We start from the raw sequence: 23,696 nt of genomic DNA on the forward strand, positions 1-23,696 counted from the left end.
AACCAAAATGATGCATTATTCTTTGTAATCTGCTTCTTGAAATAATGTAAGGATAAGAAAATTGTCCAGTTTATTAAACTTTTCAAATTTGAAAATGGTTTAAAATAAAAATGTAGCTTACACACATAAAAGAAGAAATGACATGTGTATTTATATTTATTGACCATAAGTCATTTGGATGATAATTTTGAAATCATTTTCCTTACAGGAAAAATATTTTCTCTATAAAAATAGAAAGAAAACAAAAAAATGTAATTGAGATTGAGATGCTATGGAAAAATTCACCATCATTGCTTTTGGTTGAGGCATTTTAAATTTTTTGTAATTTCAGGTCTTGGGCTGCTTAAACTACGTATCACAAATGCCTAACCCCTGTTTGTTATCACAGTAGAAATATTAATGTTTTTCTTTATGATGATGATGTAGTAAAAATTGGAAATAAAAATCCCTTAAACTGTATATAATAATTAAGCTGGAAAGTAGGAGAAATCACAGAATTTGCACTCTGTAAATACATGCCTGTGCACATCTTAAGTGCAGACTTCTCTCAACTGTGAGTCAAAATTACTCTTAAAGCTATCTTAATTCAATATTAAAAATTCATCAAATTTGCAAGTCAAAACGATAAAATTCTAGATTTAGGTTCATAAAATAGTTATAAAATAAAATGCACTATTATTAACCATTAAATATAAAAGTATACAGAATAATTTTTTCAGAAATTCAGAAAATTAGTAATATTAAGGATATGAGTAAAATGATAAATAGCAAACTAAAATAAATGCTTATTTTATATTTTCTTGAGTATATATTAGATCTGTTGTCATTTAATAGCATAAAAACAAATTACCTAACATAAATTTCTAAGAAATATTTACTGTTGTAAGATAAGCAGTCTTATAATGTATAAGTAATCTCTCTAATCGTTTCTTCTAAAATGGCTGAGGTTACTTACATTTTCAAGTAATGTTCAAATCACAAGACGTTCTTTAAAAATATACACCAAGAAATGAGAATTTCAGATTCAGAATTTTACTAAAAATTCTCCTTTAAAAAGTTATCACCTGACAGAGCCTTATAAGCTTTTTATTGTGAAATAAAATCGGCATGGAGGAAAAATACAATCATCGCTCTCTATTCCTGAGAGATTAGTTCAAGGTCACCACCATCTACAGATACCAAAATCCATAGATGCTCAAGTCCTTTAGGTAAACGGTGTAGTATTTGCATATAGCCTACACATATCTTCCCGTATACCTTAAATGGCCTCTACATTACTAATAATACCTAATATGATGCAAATGATTTATAAATAGTTGTTATACTATATTGTTTAGGGAATAATGACAAGGAAGTAAAAACGTCTGTACATGTTCAGTACAGATGCAACCATCTTTTAAAAACTTTTTTAAAGTATTATTGTTCTGGGCTTATTTGAATCCATGAATATGGAACCCACGAATATGGAGGGCAAACAGTTATCACAAAATGAAGTTCTGCATTTCAGAGTATTGTCACCCAGAAATTAAAAATGACCAGCATGGCAGCCCTCAAATCCTAAAATCCTGAGGCAGTGGCCTCACTTCTGCAGATCAAGGAGGCCACTGAGCATTCACCTTTTCTTTTTTTTTTTTTGAGACAGAGTCTTGCTCTGTTGCCCAGGCTGGAGTGCAGTGGTGCAATCTCAGCTCACTGCAACCTCCACTTTCCAGGTTCTAGCGATTCTCCTGCTTCAGCCTCCCAAGTAGCTGGGATTACAGGTGCCCACCACCATGCCCGGCTAATTTTTGTATTTTTAGTAGAGATGGGGTTTCACCATGTTGGCCAGACTGGTCTCGAACTCCTGACTTCAGGTGATCTGCCCACCTTGGCCTCTCAAAGTGCTGGGATTACAGGTGTGAGACACCATGCCAGTTCCATTCATTCATATTTAATGCTAATTTTTGGAGATGAAATGCAAGTTGGTGAATTTATTGTTTTATAAGTTGCTAATCAACTGAAATAGTAATGCCAGAACTTTCTAAGCCATGCCAAATTTTAACACTGATTAATCATTGTGATTTGACCCAATTTTTAAGTTAATATAGTAATATTTTAATTTCCAAGTTGAATTCCTATATACAACAGAATCATCTTGTTATTTTCCATTTTTAAAAGAGTTCCCTAGTGATAGATCTGGAAAGGACTGAAGTCTTTGAAATATTGTCTTCTAATCTATATGCTGATTAATTTATATAGAGCTTTAATTTATCTCACTTTTATTTTCTCTGAGGTCTCATATATCTCTCCCTATGTTTTTTTTTCTACTTTTCTGATTTTTCAGTTATATCCTAAGTGGATTTTATGAAACATTATTTTTTTCTAAATGTTTGCTGCTTTTTAATCATTATATATTTTAGTAGTTTTCTCTATTGGATTAAGCAATTTGACTTCTATTCCTTGACTGAATATGATTTTCTTTTACTTTTAAATCATAGATGAATTGTGAACTTATCCGAAGCTCCTTCTGCATCTATTGAAGTGGTCATGATTTTTCTCCTTATTCTATGAAAGTGGTGAATTATTTTGAAAGTTTTATTCAATGTTAAATCAAAACTGAATTTCTGAAATAAATTTATCATTATTAATAGCATTTTTAGCAGGCCTCAGACTTTAATCTTCTCATTTCTCTGGGTTACAAAAGGCTGCCAAAAGCGTTACTAAGACCCATGGTTTCTCAATCCAGAAATTCTAGTGCATATAAATACTGGCTCAATTCCCTGGTCCTTCCAACCTCCGCCAGAACCTAACCTGGTGGTTCTTCCAGGTTTTATTAACTCTCCAGTGTCTTCAAGCAGATTTTTAAAATAATTATCTAATTGCATAACACAGAGAAGAAGATGCAATATAGATAGGTAGAGAGGTAAATACACAATTTTAAATCTAATAGTATATGCAGATTTTAATAAAATAGTAAATTTAATTTTAATTAAATTCCCTTTTCAAGATAATAATCTAACACATTAATTTAATCAATGCATATAAATGTTAACAAAATAACTATTTTTATTTAGTAGCAGTTAATTTTAATAGATACCCCACCACATGAATTGATTTTAGGTAATATACTGATGAAAAAATGTTTCTATAAAGACTATTTGTACTATCAAAGGACTGCTTAATTCATACCTAATAATCTTAAACAGTATAACCTCTTTACAGTTTCTATGCTCACAAATATATTTATTAGTTTATTGCCACTGAGAAAATTTTCTTATAAATCTATTATAAGGACTTGTCCATTTCATCTCAAATTTTATTTTATTAATCTTATGTTTTTAAAAATATATTATTAATTCCTAGGGGCCAAGGATTGTTACATTAGCTATTTAGAACAATTATAATGCGTAGTGACCTACATATATGTCTGTGTTAATTTAGCAGTAGTAAAATTTACTTACATGTTTTTAATATAACTGCACATATTTTCTTCTGGTTTGTGTTTGTCTGTTACGCATTGTTTTTAAAACTTTAATCTTAAGCTTCAGGAAAACTCTTCTAAGTGTTACTTCATATCCAATCTGATTATTTGTAGAATTTAGTTTATTTTAATGTATTGTGAATACTTATATACTTGGAGTCCTTTCTATAATTTTTTTTTCTTTTTTTTTTTTTTTTTTGAGACGGAGTCTTGCCCTGTCGCCCAGGCTGGAGTGCAGTGGCGCGATCTCAGCTCACTGCAACCTCTGCGTCCCGCGTTCACGCCATTCTCTTGTCTCAGCCTCCCGAGTAGCTGGAACTACAGGCGCTCGCCACCATGCCCGGCTAATTTTTTGTATTTTTAGTAGAGACGGGGTTTCACCGTGTTAGCCAGGATGGTCTCCATCTCCTGACCTCGTTATCCGCCCCCCTCGGCCTCCCGAAGTGCTGGGATTACAGGCGTGAGCCAGCGCGCCGGGCCTATAATTATTTTTTTAACTCTGATTTGTTCCACTCTTCTCTTGTCTTCTTTTTTGTTTATGTTTGGCTGATTTTCCTTCCCATTTCAGTTTTCTTTTAACCTATTTGGTGGTGGAGGAGAATGTACACTCTATCACCATAATTCTATTGGTTAAAATGAAAGCATTAACATTTAACACTAAAAAATGTATTTAATTAGTGAATACATAATATTTTAACTCTGTAGTAAAATGCAAGACTTTTAGAACGTTATAATTTTATTAGATAATTTATGATTGACTTTTACCCAAATAAATACTTAGAGAAGAAAACTTGGACAACACATAGTTAAAAACAGTAGTGCCTATAACCGTCATATAACAGATTCATAAAAGTTAATTATTAAATTAATCTGTAAAAATTCTCAATATCTTTTATAAACATGGTAATTTTATATGATTAAACCTAATAAAATTGATATTTTCAAAGCAGATTTATAAAAATATAGATAACATAATTAGAGACCACGTAACTAAAAAAAGTAAGTTCCAGCTAATGGGGATAAGACAAAAAAGGAAATAAAAGGTATATATATTGGAAAGGAAGAAACAAAATTTTCCTGGTTTTTAGATGACATAATCATCTATGTAGTAAAACTGAAGGAATAATTTTAAAAAGCGAGAATTAATAAGTGATTATGGCAAGGTTGTAGGATACAAGGTTAATATTCAAAAGTCAATACATCTCTTATATACCAGCAATGAACAAGTAGAATTTGAAATTAAAAACCCAATACCATTTACATTTGCAACCCCCAAGATGAAATGGTTTGGTATAAATATAATGAAATACATAGAAGATCTATATGAGGAAAACTATTATACAAAACTGTGATGAAGGAAATCAAACTAAATAATGGAGAGATATTTTAAATTCATGAACAGGAAGAGTTGATGGTATCAAGATGTCAGTTCTTCCCAACTTGATCTATAGATTCAATTTAATCGTCCCAAAAATCTCAGCAAGTTATTTTGTCAGTATCAACAAACCGATTCTAAAGTTTATAAGGAGAGGCAAAAGACCCAGAATAGCCAACATAATACTAAAGAACAAAGCCAGCAGACTGACCCACTATCAGACTTCAAGACTTACCATAAAGCTATGGTAATCAAGACTGTGTAACCCTGGTAAAAGAATGGGCGAATAGATTAATGAAACAACATTAAAAAATAAGAAGTAGACCCACATGAATATAATGATCCAATATTTTTTTAAAAAGCAGAGGTAATCAGTGCAGAAAAGATAATCTTTCCCCAAAGTGGTATTGAAATAACTGGATATTCACAGGCAAAAAAAAAAAAAAAAAAAAAAAATGAATCTATACGCAGACCTTATACCCTTCCCAAAAATTAACTCAAAACGTATCATAAACCTAAATATAAAATGCAAAATTATATAACTCATAGAAGATAACAGGAAAAAACTTATGGATATGGCAATGTGTTTTTAAACATAACACCAAAGGCATGATTTATAAAAGAAAGAATTGATAAGCCAGATTTCATTTAAATTTTAAACTTCTTCTTTGCAAAATATAATGTCAAAAGAATGAGAAAACAAACTACAAACTCGGAAAAAAAATTTTCAAACATATCTGAAAGGACTGTCATTAAAATATACAAATAATTCTTAACGCTCAACAATGAGAAAACAAATAACTCTTAAAACTCAACAACAAGAAAACAAACAGCCAGATTACAAAATGGGTCAAAGATCTTAACAGACACCGCACCAAAGAAGACATATAAATGATAGAAAGCATGTGATAAGATGCTCCACAATGTATATAATAGGGGCAAATGCAAGTTAAGAAAAAACAAAAACAACAAAATGACACAATACACCAATTAGAATGGCCAAAATTCAGATAACTGACAACAACTGCTGGTGAGGATGGGAAAAAACAGAAATTCTCATTCATAGCTGGTGGGGGGAGTGCACTTTGTTTAATAGCTTGGCAGTCCTTATGAAACTAAGCGTACTCTTGCCATACAGTCCAGTAATCACATTATTTGGTCTTTACCTAAAGATGTTGAAAATTTATGTCCACATAAAAACCTGTACACAGATGTCAACAACAGCTTTGTTGATAATTTTCAAAACTGGGAAGCAGCAGGTGAGTGGATAAACACTCTTTAATATATCCAAATAAGGGAAAATTATTCAGCACTAAAAAGAAATGAGTAATCAAATCATCAAAAGGCATGGGGGAAACTTAAATGCATATTGTGAAGTGAAAGAAGCTAGTGATAACCTATGTATATGTATGATTTCACCCATAAAAAAATTCTGGAAGAAGCCAAACTATAGAGACTGTAAAAAAAAAAATTAATGGTTGCCGGAAGTTGGGGTGAGGATATTTATAGGCAGAGCACACAGGAATTTTAAGGCAGTGAGAACACACTGTATAATACTGTATTTACCACCTATTTCATTATACATGTTTTCGAAACCGTAGAATGTACAACACCAAGAGTGTACCCTTATGCAAACTATGGCCTTTGGGTGATTATGGTGTGTCAATGTAGGTTCATCAGTTGTAAAAAATGTAGCACTCTGGTGGGGGATGTTGATAATAAGGGAGGTTGTGTGTGTGTGAGGGCAGGGGATATATGGGAAATCTCTGTGTCTTCTGTTAATTTTGCTGTAAACCTAAAACTGCTCTCAAAAAAGATCATCAAAATAAATTTTAAAATATGGTCAAGTTGAAAATAACTTATTAGCCAATATAGTGCAAAAAGTAATAAAAACAATGTCATATACAGTATAATAATACCCTATTTATTAACTGCGCAATTATCCTTTCATTTTTTCTCTCAGATAAAAAATATCATTTGCTAGGACACTTGAAGTGGTAACTTTAGGGTTTCTTTTTAACCTCTCTCCTGGCATAAATATGAACCTTGAAAAAATATATTGATTGAAATTTCTAGCAAGTAATCAAAATTCTCATTTTTCCTGTTCTTGCATTCTCCAGTTTAGGACTCTCTTGATTCTACCAGGACTCTTATCATAATCTATTGCTTGATGAATACTATTTTAAAATGTAAAACTCAGTAGATATAAATGTATAATACAATAATAATAACAGAAAGATGAGTAAAGAATGGTAACTGTGCTGAATTATGTTGCTTTTATCCAAAATAAGAGACCACATATCACGTTATTTTATAATTAGTGATAATGTGAGTTTCTCTCTGACTATATTTTAATAAATTTTAGAGCAGATTCCCAGGAGTATTCAGCTTTCTGTTTCCTCTTTCTAAATCTATTGGGAGCCTATTTTTGTATATCTTTTCTGAACAACCATATATGTGATTTACCTTAGAGATGTAGTATAGTGACCTCGCATTTGATGAAACTGTAAAACTGGAATCTCTTTCCTCCACAGTAGGGCGAACGACATACTATAATGCCAAATACTACTCTTAACCTTTATAAATACATTAAATCTCATTAACCAGGCAGAAATAGTTTAATTCTAATATGTGGTAGGCTGTGTCAGTGTATTAACCATTCAATTTTTATGAATTATTAATCTGTATCTCAAGTTATTGGCTACTAGATTAATTCATAGAACATTTCATAAACCTCAAGATAAAGGAACATATTACATAATACTAGGATTTTCAATTTACTCTATAAATTTCCCATAGACACATAGATATTTATACTATGCCCAGTTTAACATTTTGACTCAAATGGATATTTTAAAATTTAGATTTTTAAACACATACTCTCTCTCTCCATCTCTATATCTCACTTTATCCCAACCTTAGAACTCGTGAGTTGGCAATCTCTTCCACATAAGCACTCATCAGCTATCTATAATGATCTATAATGGCCAACTGTTGATGTCTGCAGACTAACTCTCTTGCAGAATATCATCTAGTATAATTTTAGTGGTAGAGATTATATATTTTCCCAGCCCTACTACGATAGTTTTGGTTATTCATGACTTTGAACTCCTCTAACCTGTGTTCCTGTCAACAGAGGTTAATGATTCCGGACCACATTCTTTCAAAGCCACGAGGCAATATTGTTAGTCTAGTTGAACACTCTGCTCTTAACTCTGTCCACAACTTTCAATCTTACTGTGTTCATGTATTCAAGAGAGATGCTCTTAATAGTTTTTTGTTTCTTTGTTTGTTTGTTTTTGGTTTTTTTTGAGAGACAGAGTTTCACTCTTGTTGCTTGTTGCCTAGGCTGGAGTACAATGGTGTGGTCTCGGCTCACTGGAACCTCTGCCTCCCAGGTTCAAGCGACTCTCCTGCCTCAGCCTCCTGAGTAGCTGGGATTACAGGTGTGCACAACCATGCCTGGCTAATTTTTGTATCTTTAGTAGAGATGAGGTTTCACCATGTTGATCAGGCTGGTATCGAACTCCTGACCTCGGGTGATCCACCCACCTCTACCTCCCAAAGTACTGAGATTACAGGCGTGAGCCACCATGCCCAGCCTCCCATTAGTTCTAAAATGATAAAACTTCATGAGAGATAATATAAGAAATATTCCTTTAGCATTATTAAACTTTAAATATGCAAATACTGCTCCAACTCATGATTGCATATACGAAAAATGGCAAACAGTGAAAAAGTGCTAAATTGTTTTTCCACCTACATTTTATTGAAAAGGCTATATATGTCATTCTCTGCATAATGCTGGTTCAGAGTTCTTATTCTTTTAGGCCATTTCTCTCAGCTTTGTAAAACACACATTCCACTTAGATTCCTATGATAGCCTCATTCCTCCTGGTTTTAATGATGTTGGACATTTTTTATCCTCTTCTATATTTCTGTGGGCATATTAAGACTAACAGAGTTATACAAGAGATTTTTAATTTGAAATATAAGCTTGCCTTAATTTTTTCTATTGTTAAGAAATTTATCAACACGATGTACATCTGAAGCATTCTTATATTGTTAGAATAATGTTTATGAAAAAAGCATTATTTGTTGAAAATAATCAGGGTTCTTCAACCTCAGCTCTTTTAACATTGCGGGTCCAATCTTTCTTTGTTGTGGGAAGCTGCCCTGTGTGTGGGAGGATGACTGGCCTCGCTGTTGTCATCTACCAGATAGATGCTGGTTACACCCTACACCCAGCTGCAATGACTGAGTGTTTTGGGAGACATTGGAAACCTACCCTGGTTGTGAACCGACAATTTAAAACATCTCAATTCTCTATAGTCTATAAATGTATTTCTTGATTTTCCAGAGATCCCATAAATACTGGGAATGTTTCCCCACAAAGCAATTGGGCATGTCTTTATTCGCTCTGCCTGAGAAGTGGTTATCTCCTTCCTCGCCCAGAAACAGATGCAATAATATATGCTAACAAATACATTGCATTATTCAACTTGGATATTAAACATCCATTGACAGCAATTCATTAAATGACTATAGCCATATTAAATAGTCAGTGTAGCTATTTTACGTGGCATTATCTTGACATAATAGGCCAGGCCATGGTTTTCTAGACATTTATTTTACTGGAAGTTCCTTCATATTTCATGTTCACCAGAGGAAGGGCATAGCAAGTTCAATTGTAATTCAATGGATTCTAGCATGAAAGCTATGGCTACAACAAATATAGGAAAGCAACAGCGAAGAAAGGAATAAAATACATATCTATACATATAAAATAATTGCATATTCACATGCACAAACATATATTTTACGTTTTTATTTTTTAAAAAGTGACATTTTATGTTATTGATTAAATACAGTAATTATTTTATAATATTGTAGATTTATTTAGTAGTTTATTCTAATTATGTTTGCCATCTCCTTAAATTAAATTTCAAATATATCTATAACAGCTAATTATTTACTATATTTAACAATTTTTTTTGAATGTCATGATAAGTTTTCTTTTGTTGCTGAGAAAAGGGCAAGCCTCCATTTTCCAGCAGAATACTATATCATATGCTATTTACATCAGGCTTTGAGTAATTTAGAAATTGCTATAACTATAAATTTAAATGTGTGTTAATTGTATTCACAACAATAATACAAACATATATTGTTGATATTTAAATTTTTAATTATTATATACAAATTTAACATATTTAAGTTATACTACAGCCAAACCAGTTTGTTCTCTAAAGATAATTATTTTCATATTCATATATCTATTTGCAGATCATGTTGGAGGTGTTTGCATATATAAATATTTATATATAAAATAAGAAATGTTACTTGAGAATTTTATTAAATGTTATATTAAATTACCATTTAATTTGCTTATTAAATATGTGTTCTCAAAATATTTCCATGTTAGGACACTGAAAACTACATAATTTTTTAAAGTGTCTGTAGGATATCATAGAAAACTGATTCTGAGTCCCTATAAGATTGTCAATATTTTCTTGTTGCTTTTAAAAAATAATGAATGAATTGCCATTTCTTATCTCAAGATAATAAACATATATTTTATGCATTTTCAATATTAAATATGTATTTTATGATTTATTTGTTGTAGTGCAATATAGTAATTATCTTAGTTAATATTTTTTTCTAAATTGCTCCAATTATCTCAGCCTAATTTACTGAGAACTCTGTATTTTGCCATTGATTTAGAAAGCTTCCTTTCTCAGATGCTTTATCACTATTTATTTGTGTTTAATTCTGCATCATTTCATCTGTTGTGTTTGATCTTCTTTTATGCTTCAAAGTTATTTTTACAGCTTTCAGTAGAACTTGATATATGCCAGAATAAAATACCCTTTTCCTTATGAAGGGTATTTATTTGTGTGTCTAATTCTGCATAATTTCAACTGTTGTGTTTGATCTGCTTTTATGCTACGAAGTTATTTTTACAGCTTTCAGTAGAACTTGATATATGGCAGAATAAAATACCCTATTTCTTATGACTATTCACAATGTGCTTTAATTTTGCATTGTTGAGTAAATAAACGTAAAAGACTCAACAGCACATGTAAGAGCCATGGAACAGCATTTATAGATAAAATGTCTAGAGAAAGAATAGAAGTGATCTCGTTTCTTTATTCCTCATCATAACATTGGGTTGTTAACAGGGACTTAGCAAAATTGAACCTCATCATTTTGATAAGAGATTTAGGACTATGATACTTAGAATTTTTGTAGTTGAGAGTTTTAAATTACCTCTGCTTCATGGAGAAAAGTTGCCCATAGTCTGTCCATCCCCTTATCATTAAGAATGAAGTGGTGAGTTTCAACGGCCCTTTCTTTGGTCTCATTAGGGACTGGGGTCCAAGTAGGCATACAACTGTGAAATCTGTCAGATTTATGCAACCTTAATGTTCTATGATTTCAGTCCTTTATTCAGTGATAGGAGGTTTTTCTGTCATCCAAGGGTTTCATTTTTCAATTGCTCCTACTCTATATGAGATCAAAGACTCAGAGATGCAAGACATCTTGCAAATAATAAATTTCAGATGTTAACTTTTGTCATGTCTTATATATTAATATAGAATAAGGTGGTAAACTGTTTAAAAGTCTTAAGATTTTTAAATAGTTGACTCTGAGTTTGAAGGTGGGAGAGGAATTGGAGAAGTGGTATCTCCCAAGGGGAGGATTAAAGATTTTTCATTTGTGATAAAAGTTGATATTCCAGCTAATCCAGATCTACTTTTATGGCTTTTATTTAGAAAAAGGAGTATAGAGATAGTGAATATATTTTATCTTCATTTAAATAGAAGACACACAGAGAAAATAAAGAAGCATGGAAAAGACAAGGTGTCATGGACTGTACGTTTGTGTTCCATCAAAAGTCTCATGCTGAAGCCTTCACCCTCAATGTGTTGGTATTTGGACATAGGGCCTATGGGAGGTACTTAAGGTGAGATTAGATAATGAGGATGGAGCCCTCACCATGGCATTAGTGGCTTTACAAGAGAAAAAGGAAAAGGGATTTCTCTCTCTCTCTTTCTGCGTCCATGCTCTTGCAGCAAGGAAAGGCTATGTGAGGACACGGTGAGAAGGCAACCATCTTCATACTAGGAAAAGGGCCTTCACTAGGAAGCTCCAGCAGCGTCAAAAAGAAATGTCTTTTGTTTAAGACAAAAGATGTAAAGTGTGACATCAATAATATAAAAGGGGGTTTGAGATTAAGTAAAAGGGCAGATATTTTGGATGCAATTGAAGTTGTTATAAGCTTAAACTTAAAATGGACTGTTACAATTATAACATGTTTTCATGGTAACCCTAAAAAAAAACTGTAGTAAATTTATAAAATATAATGAGGAATAAATCAAATACCACTACAAAAACAATCAACAAATCACAAAGGAAGACAGCAAGACAGGAAAAAAGGAAGTACAAATCACACAGAAAACAATTAACAAAACGGCAAAAAATGCAAATGTGCCTAACTAGTAGATTAAACAATAGGGATAGCTAGATTGCATTATGACATAAGTTTATAATTTAGCAACATGATCTTATGTGACATCTTTCATAATTGCAAAGGAATATAATTCTAAAGACAAGAAATATACCAAAGGAATACTAAAAGAAGACTGCTTTAGACTATCATTTTGTTACAATAACACACTATAAATAAAAATGTTTTATTAGGGAATAAAGAAGATCCTGGTATAAGGTTACTATTTTATAAATAAGGTATGGTACAATTCACTAGAAAATTATATGTATACATATGTAACTAACCTGCACGTTGTGCACATGTACCCTAAAACTTAAAGTATAATAATAATAAAATAAAAAGAAAATTATATGACTATTAATGTATACACTTAATAACTTAGTCTAAAATATGTAAAAAGCAAAAAAGTCACAAATCACAGCATTACTAGGAAAAAATTTACATCTTAAATCTTACCATACCTCTGAGTAACTATAAATAAAACAGGAAATTATCAAATATGTACGATTTCAATAACACAATTAACAAAGTTGATCTAATACTCCACAATGGGAAAGATCCATGTTTTGAAAAGCACAATACTTCTAAGAAGTGGAGTAGATTCATTTTTCCTATTTTTCCCACTGAGGTTAGATAAAAACCCTGGACATTATATGTAAACATAACAAAATTCTGAAGAATAGAAAGAAGAAAACAGACAGCTAAGGGGCTTTGAGACCAAACATGCTAAAATAGAAAAATCACATGCTTACATCAAATTATACCAAAATAAGAATTGATAAAATTCAGCACCCATTTATGATTTTTTAAGTCTTATAAAGTTAGGAATAGAGAAAGTTTCCTCAACTTAGTAATATTAACATATAATATATAGCAGGTCTAGAGTTTTATTATTTGTTTTCTATTTCTCTTTCTGTGATCCTCCTTTTCTGCCTTCTTGGTATTAATTTATTTTTAAAATAATTTTAATGAAATCTATATGTATGTGTGTGTGTATGTTTTGGGGAGATGGGTGTTTAAGTTACAACTAAGTTAAGTTAAATGGTAATTTCAGGCATTAAATGTATATTCTTATTTATAAAACTTTTATTATTGTTAAGGTTGTAACACAACACAAAACATATATTCATTAGTTTAATTTTACTAAAATGTGTGTATGTGTATAAATTCAATGAAATTTCATAAAATTTTTGATATAAACGGTTATATACAAGATTATGAAATTCAGAAAAGTTGTGTGTGTTTGTATGTGTGTAAAACCATCTTATGTAGCTGAGTTTCAGTCTGGTTTCATTTTTCTTCAGATTGAAAATCATGCTGTAACTGTCCTTATAGTGAAGGTCTTCTGATAAAAAATATATAATATTTTAATTGAGAATGTTTTCATTTCCCCTTCAGTTTTGAAAAATATGTTCACTCATGTAGAACTCTTGATTGACATTTTGCCTTTCTTTACATTTAGCACTTTAAGATGTTGTGTCTGGATGTATAATTTCTGACAAGAAGTCAATAGTGTTTTAGAAATTGTTGTCACTCTATACATAATGGTTTTTACCTCTCCCTATATATTTTGGATGTTATTTTTAGATTTTAAATATGTAATTGAAATATGAAAATGATATTCGGTTTGTGTGTGTGTGTGTGTGTGTGTGTGTGTGTGTTGATCCAGGGTGTTCTAGCTTTTAAACCCATGAATTAATGCATTTAACCAAATTGAATAAAAGGTCAAGTATTATTTTTTCAATATTTTTACTTCATTTTTCTCTCTTCTCCTTCTGCAACTTGAATTTCAAGCATGTTGGACCATCTAAGATTATCCCATGACTCTGTTTAATTTTGTTTTGTATCTGTTTTTTACTCTCTTCGAAATGCATAACTTCTTTTGATTTTCTATAGCTTACTGATTCTTATTTCATCTTCTTTCTGTAGTTAATCTCATAGAGTATTTATTTTTCCATTTCAGCTATTTTATTTTTCTGTTTCTAAAATTTCCTTTTTAGTTATTTTTTATTAATTCTACTTTTATGCTGAGATTTCCTGTATTTTTTTTACTACCTCCACAATTTATTTCACCTCTTTAAGCATAGTCATAATGGACATTTTAAAATCATTGCCCACTGATTCTAAAGATCATATTGGTTGCATTTTCTCTTGAGAACAGATAATTTTCTTTTCCTCTAACATTGAGTAAATTTTATTACATTCTACATATTGTGAGTGATGTGTTAGAAGCACTCTAGATTCTGCTACGTTCATCCAAAGAGTAATGGTTTTTTAATAGGTAGCTAACATTTCAGAAATTAAATTCTGCCTCCCCTATAGTGTGTAGTAGCACTGAAATATGAATTTAGTTCTTGTAGTTGAAATTTGGCCTCTTAGAATACATGCTGGAATCAGCCGGAGATGTAAGCAGTATTCATAGCAAAATTTAGATTCTCCCTGACTAAATCTCTCCATTCTAGAATTCACTCCTTTCCTTCAGTGGTGGTTTTGTTGTGAGCAAGTGGAATTTTAGAAAATATTTTAGTGTTGTAATTGGCCATATATTTGAAATGTGCTATCATAAGAAAAAAGGAAACATGTGTACCTAACACGAGTCTAAAGATAAACTTAGAACAATTAAAACAATCCAGTACCTTGGTCAAACAAAATACATTTGTTAAACCATTTTTTTAAATTCTATCAAAACAATGTACACTTCTAAAACTGATATACAATCTAAGTCCAATTGATATCAATTGTAACCCATCATAAAAACATTTGTTGTTCAAAAAAGTTGTATATGAATGGCTTCATTCAAGAAAAACAAAGATTTCCTCCGTTTTCTGCCTTAGTCATTTTTAGGTAACTAAAGCAAGGAGCTACCTACCATTCTAACATCATCTTCCAGAATTTACTATTTTTGTAGACAGAAATATTTACTTGAATCTTCTCCTGAATCACTTCTTCTGTAGCTTCTCTCTAAAGCCAATTATTCTTATATCCAGCTGTTCAATCATCTTCCACCCACCCTGGCAAGAGATTTCTGCTCTTTTTGAGATCATGGAAAATTGTATGTGGGACTCGCCTTACTTCCTTTTGACCCTCCATTCCTTCATTCCCCTGAACACCGCCATACCTCACTGTAAAGGCATGTTTCAGTTTTTTCAAAGGAGACCATGAGTAGACCCCAGGGCTAATACATTCAATACAGTATAAACAGTTTAGAATATGTAGAATGAAAAACGTTACCTTACTTAGGTATTTTTGTAAACCACAATTAACTTTTGTGTATTTTTTAAAATATATGAAAAACATTACCTTTCATGCGCGTCCGTGTGAAGAGACCACCAAACAGGCTTTGTGTGAGCAATAAAGCTTTTAATCACCTGGGTGCAGGCGGGCTGAGTCCGAAAAGAGAGTCAGCGAAGGGAGATAGGATGGGGCTGTTTTATAGGATTTGGGTAGGTAAAGGAAAAAGGGGGGTTGTTCTCTGGCGGGCAGGAGTGGGGGTCACAAGGTACTCAGTAGGGGAGCTTTTGAGCCAGGATGAGCCAGGAGAAGGAATTTCACAAGACAATGTCATCAGTTAAGGCAGGAACAGGCCATTTTCACTTCTTTTGTGGTGGAATGTCATCAGTTAAGGCAGGAACCGGCCATCTGGATGTGTACGTGCAGGTCACAGGGGATATGATGGCTTAGCTTGGGCTCAGAGGCCTGACATTACCTTACTCGGTTATTTTTGTAAACCACAATTAACTTTTGTGTATTTTTAAGTATATTTTAAAATAACTTGGCAATTATTACATTAAAAGGCATTAGTTCAATCAATTATAAACCCTTTTGACAAATGATGAAACTGAGGTTTAGAGAAATAATGAAAGGCTGAAGATCAATGTAGATTTTCTGTGCAACCACATTCACTTAAATGTAGAAACTGAAAACTTAAATCATTTCTATCAATCCTTTCAGTACAGATTCAATTTCAGAGAACTTACTTTGTAGTTTAGATATCACTACGATAACATCATTTAAAAAAAGATTATAAATTAACTTGAACCATCTGTCCATTTGTAAAAGGATAGCTTTTAAATTCAAAGAAACAAGCCTGTCTTCTTAAATTAAGCTATCTCAAACAAAAAATATGTGCTCACTAGTGCGATTTCTGTAGCGGATCTATGCCAAATATTTTCAGTCCTTCTCTATGTATTTATCACAATTGCACTTGTCAAACTGTTAAAAATTATATTCATGGTAATAAACAAATCACATTTTTTGGTTATTTATTTTTTAATCTAAATTTTGTTTTCACTTTTACATCTCTCAATTCTCAAGAGAGCAGAATGTTATGCTCTCTATCAAATAATTTTAATAGAGTTTTTTTACAGTTATTTATTTGTTATCTATAGATAACATCCAATTTTATTAGGGGATACCTGTTGAGAATTAGACTCATATGCTATTTTATTCCTTATTTTGTTTTTAACCTTATATTTCTAGCTATTTATAAAATAAAAGAAGTATCAGGCAAAATTAAGAAATTATTTTAACAATAAGCAAAATATAATTAACTCTAATTTTAAAACTTCATTTGTGTAAATAAAATAGCAACTAATGTTCTTCTGTAATAATATTTTGTTTAGCCACTATCATCAACACAAGGTTTTTTCTCTAGACAATAAGACTTGCATTTTTGGTGCACATTGAAAGGAATACAATAAGAATAAGTGATGAAGATCTTACTACATATGTATTGATGTTGTGGTAAGCCACTTACGTTTCAATTTAAATCTAAATTATACATTAAAACATAGATATTTAATTTGTATCAACATTATGAAAAATATCAGTAATTACTGAGTGGAGGAAGTAAAATTTTAATATGAAACCATTATTGCTTGAATAGTATACATATTTAGGTTTTTTAAAAATTAAAAAAGGCAAAGAAGCTGAAATATCAAAAAAAGAATTTCCACTTAAAATTTACATGTTAATTTTAAGATAGCACTTGTCTGTCTATATTCGTATTGAGGTTTTCTATGTATATATTCTTATTCACCAGAGACTTTCAGCAATGCATGCAAGCTATCAAGGCTCATAAATTTAACATCATAATTAAAAACAATAAAATGGAACAAAGAAAATAGAAATGATCCGATTCTATTGATCAGTTTACAGTTAGAGCTTTTTTGTGAAACTTTTTTTTAAGGTGGATGTAATAGATAATTCACAGGAAGGGAATGAAACACAATAAAGATGTATATTAGTACAGAGTACACATTAAGATATTATACATATATATTTATGTACTTATGTGTACATATTTGTGTATATCTTTCTGTGTATATATATAATAACATTTTGAATATATACTGTACTACTCAACATATTTACATTTTGCATATTTAAATTCATTCCTGAGATTTATGTATGTTTTTGGAAACACTTGGCATAGCTAATGTTAACGTGATAAATAAATCATATGTATGTTTATATGCCATTCTTCATTGAACTCCAGGTGAATGCTACCTTATATTTTTAAACATTTTTTATATAGTGATTTGGAGCTTGTGGCAAAGCCATCTAGGGATATTAGAGAGGGTTCCTCAGCACCCAGCACTTAATTGGAACAGCATGTATTTTTAAAAAGGAAAACTCTCCCCATTTCCCAGTTTGCATGCTAAAACTGTTCCCCTAGGCATGCTTCAGTTCCTCTCTGTTTCCTTACTTTAAATATGCATGGAGAAGTAAAGTGACAGTTGTTTTGCAAATTTGGGATTGAGTCACTGGGCATGTTCAACTCTGTTTGCTTTTGCTCCTCTTAAACCTTAACTGCTTTCAACTCTAGGCTTTTCCTACGCAAGGAGGCCTATTTGAAGCAGCGCTGTTTGAGCATGAAGTGTGCAAGGATAGCATTTCTAATTCTGGGATAATACTCCTGCCGAGCCCAGCTTGGTCGTGGAGACCCTAACCCAGCAGCGCTAGAGGAATTAAGACAAAGACACAGGAATAGAGTATAAAGGGGGAATCAGGTGGCTGACAGCCTTCAGAGCTGAGAGCCACGAACAGTCTGACCCACACATTTATTGACAGAAAGCCAGTGATAAGCATAGTTTCTATAGATTATAGATTAGCTAAAAGCATTCCTTATGGGAAACAAAGCATTCTTAGCAAGGAGCAGAGAAACAGGCCCTGGCTGATTTTCTGCAGCAAAAGCATGTTGTTAGGGCACAGGCTGCTCCTGCTACTGTTTGTAGTTTGAGTAGTTTTCCGCTCCAGGCGGACCAGGTTTTCCTAGCCCTGCTCCAGTAAACCAACAACTTCTAGCAGTGTGCGTGATCGCCATCACGAGCGTGTCACATTGCTGCAGAAATCCTGTTTATGGACAGTTTCTTTAAGGCTTATGACAGGGTTAGGGCTTGCTACCAGCAACTCTACTTCTCTTTCTCAGCAATAAGAGTGATTCTGGGGCCGGGCGCGGTGGCTCATGCCTGTAATTCCACCACTTTGGGAGGCCAAGGCAGGCGGATCACAAGGTCAGGAGTTCAAGACCAGCGTGACCAACATGCTGAAACCCCGTCTGTACTAAAAACAAAAACAATTAGCCGGGCGTGGTGGCGCGTGCCTGTAATCCCAGCTACTCAGGAGGCTGAGGCAGGAGAATTGCTTGAACCTGAGAAGCGGAGGTTGCAGTGAGCACATATAGAGCCACTGCACTCCAGCCTGGGTGACAGAAGGAGACCCCGTCTCAAAACAAAAAAAGGGGGGATTTTGGTTCATCAATAGACATGCCCTTATTTTATTTCTTAAAGTCTTCAGAATCCTGGTGAGGAAGAGGCGAACATTTTATTGGGTATCAAACATATGGTGGAGACTCCAGACATGTGGCAGTTTCTATACAGGTAGCGCAGGGTGGAAGTACAGTGTCTCTGACAGGCGTCAGAGAAAGAGCACAAATGTCTGAGAATTCATGGGCTAGAGGCCTAATGAGCATTTTCAGCTAAGGCAAGAATTAAAGAGAGAGGGTAGCAGGTACCACAGGAAGTCTCACAGCTACAAACTGCAGGACTAGTAGGTTCAGAGGCAAACTTGGATATGGGGGAAATAATCTTTATAAGGCTTTTAAGCATTGCATAGTTTGCCAAAAAAAGCATGTGATGCCTTTAAACTGGAAGACACTGAATTCCCATGAGCTACAAAATATTGGAGAGTTTCTACCTTTACATGATCAGTGCCACATTAAATAGGCAGCATTAACCCACCGTTCTATGTTCTATTCTATATTCAAGACTGGGGAAGGAGGCCTGGAAGGGCTATGCTTTGATCTACTCTTGTCCACAAACTCACAGAATGGCATTTTGATGTTTGTTATTTGTGCTTTCATTCAACTTTGGAATTTTACAAATTAAACTTCTAGTATTCAAAAAAAAAAAACTTTAAAAAATTGAACTTATCTAAACTTTAATATCTTTGAACTTTAAATTTCAAGAGGGAGTATTTTTGAGACCTTGGCGCACCTCCAAATTTTATTTTAATGCTATTATTTATTCTCATAGAAGAAGTCCATGCATTATTTTCAACATAGTGGTTAAGCATAATTTAGAAAAGGGAGTAGAATAAGGTGTGAAAATTCAGCCTTGGATACAGACTGTCCTTGAGTTTGATTTCCAAATGAACTATTCTGATCCACGTAGGATCTTTCCAGGTAAACCTTCTGAACAGAAATTGGACAGTGTACTTAAAGGTGTCAGTGTCATAGTTTGAATTGAAGAAATGACTTCATAAAGTTGGGGTGAATACTGTCCTAGTAAATTGCTCAACACCTCCTCTGGTTGACTACAAGTGTTAAAGTTTAGCCCAGTGACTGAAGAGAAGGAAAATATTTTAACAGCATGTTACAAGGGAACCAATTTTCCCACTTATAGTTTCAGTTCAAGCTTCAATCAGCCTTTCTTTCCATGCTTAGAGCACTCTAATTTTTTTCAGCTACTCTCAGAACAGATTCAAGGTTTTGGGTTATTATGAACCTTGTCTTTTAACTAGATCTTTTTGACTCCCTCTTAGCTCTCACTCTCAAGTTCCTTTGATCTAATCTAGTCTCATCCCAGCATCTCTTTCCATATTGCCTCAAATAAATCTTTATAGAATGAAGCTACTCATTAAACCAGTTTATAAAATGGCAATACATATACAGAAATAGGGCAAAAAATAAAATACATAACAAAAGCAATCTGTTAAGATAAGCAATATGCAAAAAACTCAGTGTTGAATACGTTATTAATTTTCAGCAGTTATACAGATTTTTCTGGTATAACTTTTTATTCAAAAACTTTACTTCTTTGTTTTACTTACAATTTTAATATTAAAAAAAATCTAAGAGTGATTCTAGGTTTGATGGAATAGAGCTGTGGTTAAGACATGCTAGGTCCCAGCTCTCAGAGTATATTTTAATGGGAGGGAGAAGAAACAAATTTAAAATGACAACTAATAAATAATTTCCAATACAAATATTGCCTAAATATATACTAAAATAATTTTCATACGATTTCAAGTACTATAAAAGAGGGCGGGGAATTTTTGCCTTTGAGAGGAGATCTGGATATAAGCGATCATGCAAAGCTCTGTGGGAAGAGATACTTTGGCAGAATAAAAGCATTCTCCAGGATTCTGTGACTGAAAGAAGCGTGCTGTGTTCAAGAATCAGGAAATAGGCCTGTGATGCTGAATGTTAGTGAAGAAGGAGGGAGCACTGTGAAATTTAATTAGAGAGGTAGAGTACCACACAAAATTTATGATACAAAAGCAGAAATTGTCTCTGACCAAATTATGCAGACAGTGAATGTAATGGAAAGATATTGGAATTGCAGAGAATTGACAAGAAAAATTCAGGCTACAGCTTCCAACACAGCCATTAATGTGCTACTTCGTCAGCCTGAGAAGGAGGTCACAACTGGCTTCATTGTGTCTACATCTGCGTCACCACTGCCTGGACTCTGCCTTCTCACATCACTCTTTCAAAGCTCAAAGAAACAAGTCTGAATGCTCAACTTGATCCTGTCATAATATAGTTGCCAGGAAGAAAAGGAAAGCAAATGTCTGTGTCTCCCCTACAGTTTTCCATAGACACAGGTGGGGGCCTATTGTACAGCAATCAATGCACCATGAGAATATCACCCCAAGTGGGAAGGAATTCATGATGCTGGGTGAGCCAAAATATAAAATGTCCATTACGTGGCCCTTTTATTGGCTGCTCTACATCCACATCTACACCTCTACATTAAACTTTAGGAAAAAAAATGCTTCTACTTAACTACTGTAGCCCTTTTTTCCTTCTATTGTTCTCCAGATATCAGTAATCTCCAGTATGTGTAAGCCCTAATTATTCCTATTTCTTTTTTCTAGCATATTCTTAATTTTGTTAATTTTAATACTAAATTGTAGATATATACAAACATGTAGCTAATTATACACACACACATACACACACACACACACACACATATATGTAAATTTTTAGGCATCACATTTTTACTGAAGATCTTAAAATGAAAAACAAGCCTCTTGTTGCAATTTTTCTCGGACTTGGTTTTGTTTCACAGAGGGAATCACTTATAACTGTTTCTCTTTTTTATTCTAATCTAAAGAAACTGAAAAAATCCCTAAATAACACTATTAAGATATGATCTCCAGTATGTGTAAGCCCTAATTATTCCTACTTCTTTTTTTCTAGCATGTTCTTTATTTTGTTAATTTTAATACTAAATTGTATATATATAAGCACATAGCTAATTATATACACACAAAAAAATTAGTCATCACATTTTTATTGAAGATATTTAAATGAAAAACAAGCCTCTTGTGGCAATTTTCTTCTTACCTGGTTTTGTTTCATGGAGGGAATCACTTATTACTGCTGCTGTTTTTGATTCTAATCTAAACAATCTGAAAAAAATCCCTAAATAACATACATAAAGGTATGTTATCCTATGACAGTTATCCTAGAATGATAATGGTTTCAACAAAATAAAACTTTGTTGTTCTTTAAAATTAAAATCTAGCTGGGGAAGTGCAGTATGTGATAAGATATTCCATGTATTAGGGATGAAGTTTTTAATCTAGTGTCCTCGATAAGTATGACCTCAATATCATACACACAGAAGATAGGTACTATCACCTATTTTCTAGGTATTAAGATGGAGAGGCAGACTTTATTTTGGGCAGTCATATGCCTAACTAAACCATTATAATTAGGATACAGCCAGTGGTCTGCAAAAGTCTTTCTCTTTAGCCATCTAATGTGTTTACCTTTCCATTCACAAGCACAGTGCTCTTGCCACCATCCTCCAAGGGAGAAAACTGGAAAAGTTCATTCAGCTCATGAATCCACCCCAAATCCAGGACCTCTGAGTGATTTCCAATACGGTTCAAAGTTCTAAATGTGGCATCTCATGGCCATGTAACCTAAAAACTAAAGATGCAAAATATCTGTTATTACTATTACTAAATCATTCTGATAGAGATATTCTTTACAAATTCATCACAATGCAGTCAGCAGTGTGCTCTTTATCTTTATTAAAGCAAATATTTCATTAACTCAGAGAGATGTCATATTCTCATTTTAAAGACTAAAAACTGAGGCATAGAGAAATGAAATAATTTTCTGAGGAACTCACATCTAGCTAATACAGAATTATCATTTAGAATCAAGTTTTAAATTTCTACTCTTTCTTATCTCGGTGTCACACTTACTCCATGAGCAGCCATCACCCTATTGGTCAAAATGCCTGAATTTCTCTTACACATAAGATATCTACAAGATCTTCTACTAAACTATACATTGTCAGAGAGCAGCATCTTATTAATCTGAATATCTCTTACCCGACAAAATACCTGAAATATAGTAGTTGCTGAATTGATGTTTACTAAAGAAATTAATTATTAAATTTGGTGCCTAAACATATTAAATGTTTATTTCAAGTACTTTGAAACAAAAGAAACTTTTATAAAAAATCATATAATCCTGGACCAAACATCCAAAATTCAATATGTGTACTGCAGTAGAAACATGATGAATACTGTAAAAGTCACACTTGGAGAAGGGAGTAGAGTGGGGAATTAATGCAGAAACAGTTACTAATAACAATTATGAAACCTCTACCCTAGAACTTGAGTTCCTTGGTCAGACCTAGACTGGTCTGGTTATGCTGCCTTGAAAATAGATATTTATAGATATAGTGGTTTAGTCTGAATTTCTGATCTTTTACTGACTCATTTCTGTGCTTCTCTCATTTTGAGCTCTTGACATCATATAAAGCTAGCCACCTTGGAGTAATCTGTATTAGTTTTCTATTGCTGTTGTAACAAATCAC

The 23,696-nt window shown here is 32.7% G+C and overlaps 4 annotated features.

Annotated features, from left to right (window-relative positions):
* Positions 11,695-12,359: an enhancer, noted in NCBI's record as "NANOG hESC enhancer chr5:25441975-25442639 (GRCh37/hg19 assembly coordinates)". NCBI's record gives its function as "activates a minimal SCP1, AML or CMV promoter by ChIP-STARR-seq in naive H9 embryonic stem cells {active_cell/tissue: H9 hESC(naive)}" and the evidence as "EXISTENCE:reporter gene assay evidence [ECO:0000049][PMID:30033119]".
* Positions 15,159-15,798: an enhancer, noted in NCBI's record as "OCT4-NANOG-H3K27ac hESC enhancer chr5:25445439-25446078 (GRCh37/hg19 assembly coordinates)". NCBI's record gives its function as "activates a minimal SCP1, AML or CMV promoter by ChIP-STARR-seq in naive H9 embryonic stem cells {active_cell/tissue: H9 hESC(naive)}" and the evidence as "EXISTENCE:reporter gene assay evidence [ECO:0000049][PMID:30033119]".
* Positions 15,799-16,438: an enhancer, noted in NCBI's record as "OCT4-NANOG-H3K27ac hESC enhancer chr5:25446079-25446718 (GRCh37/hg19 assembly coordinates)". NCBI's record gives its function as "activates a minimal SCP1, AML or CMV promoter by ChIP-STARR-seq in naive and primed H9 embryonic stem cells {active_cell/tissue: H9 hESC(naive and primed)}" and the evidence as "EXISTENCE:reporter gene assay evidence [ECO:0000049][PMID:30033119]".
* Positions 17,738-18,576: an enhancer, noted in NCBI's record as "NANOG-H3K27ac-H3K4me1 hESC enhancer chr5:25448018-25448856 (GRCh37/hg19 assembly coordinates)". NCBI's record gives its function as "activates a minimal SCP1, AML or CMV promoter by ChIP-STARR-seq in primed H9 embryonic stem cells {active_cell/tissue: H9 hESC(primed)}" and the evidence as "EXISTENCE:reporter gene assay evidence [ECO:0000049][PMID:30033119]".

The sequence above is a fragment of the Homo sapiens genome, chromosome 5 (genome assembly GCF_000001405.40).
Source record: "Homo sapiens chromosome 5, GRCh38.p14 Primary Assembly".
NCBI classification, from domain to species: Eukaryota; Metazoa; Chordata; class Mammalia; order Primates; family Hominidae; genus Homo; species Homo sapiens.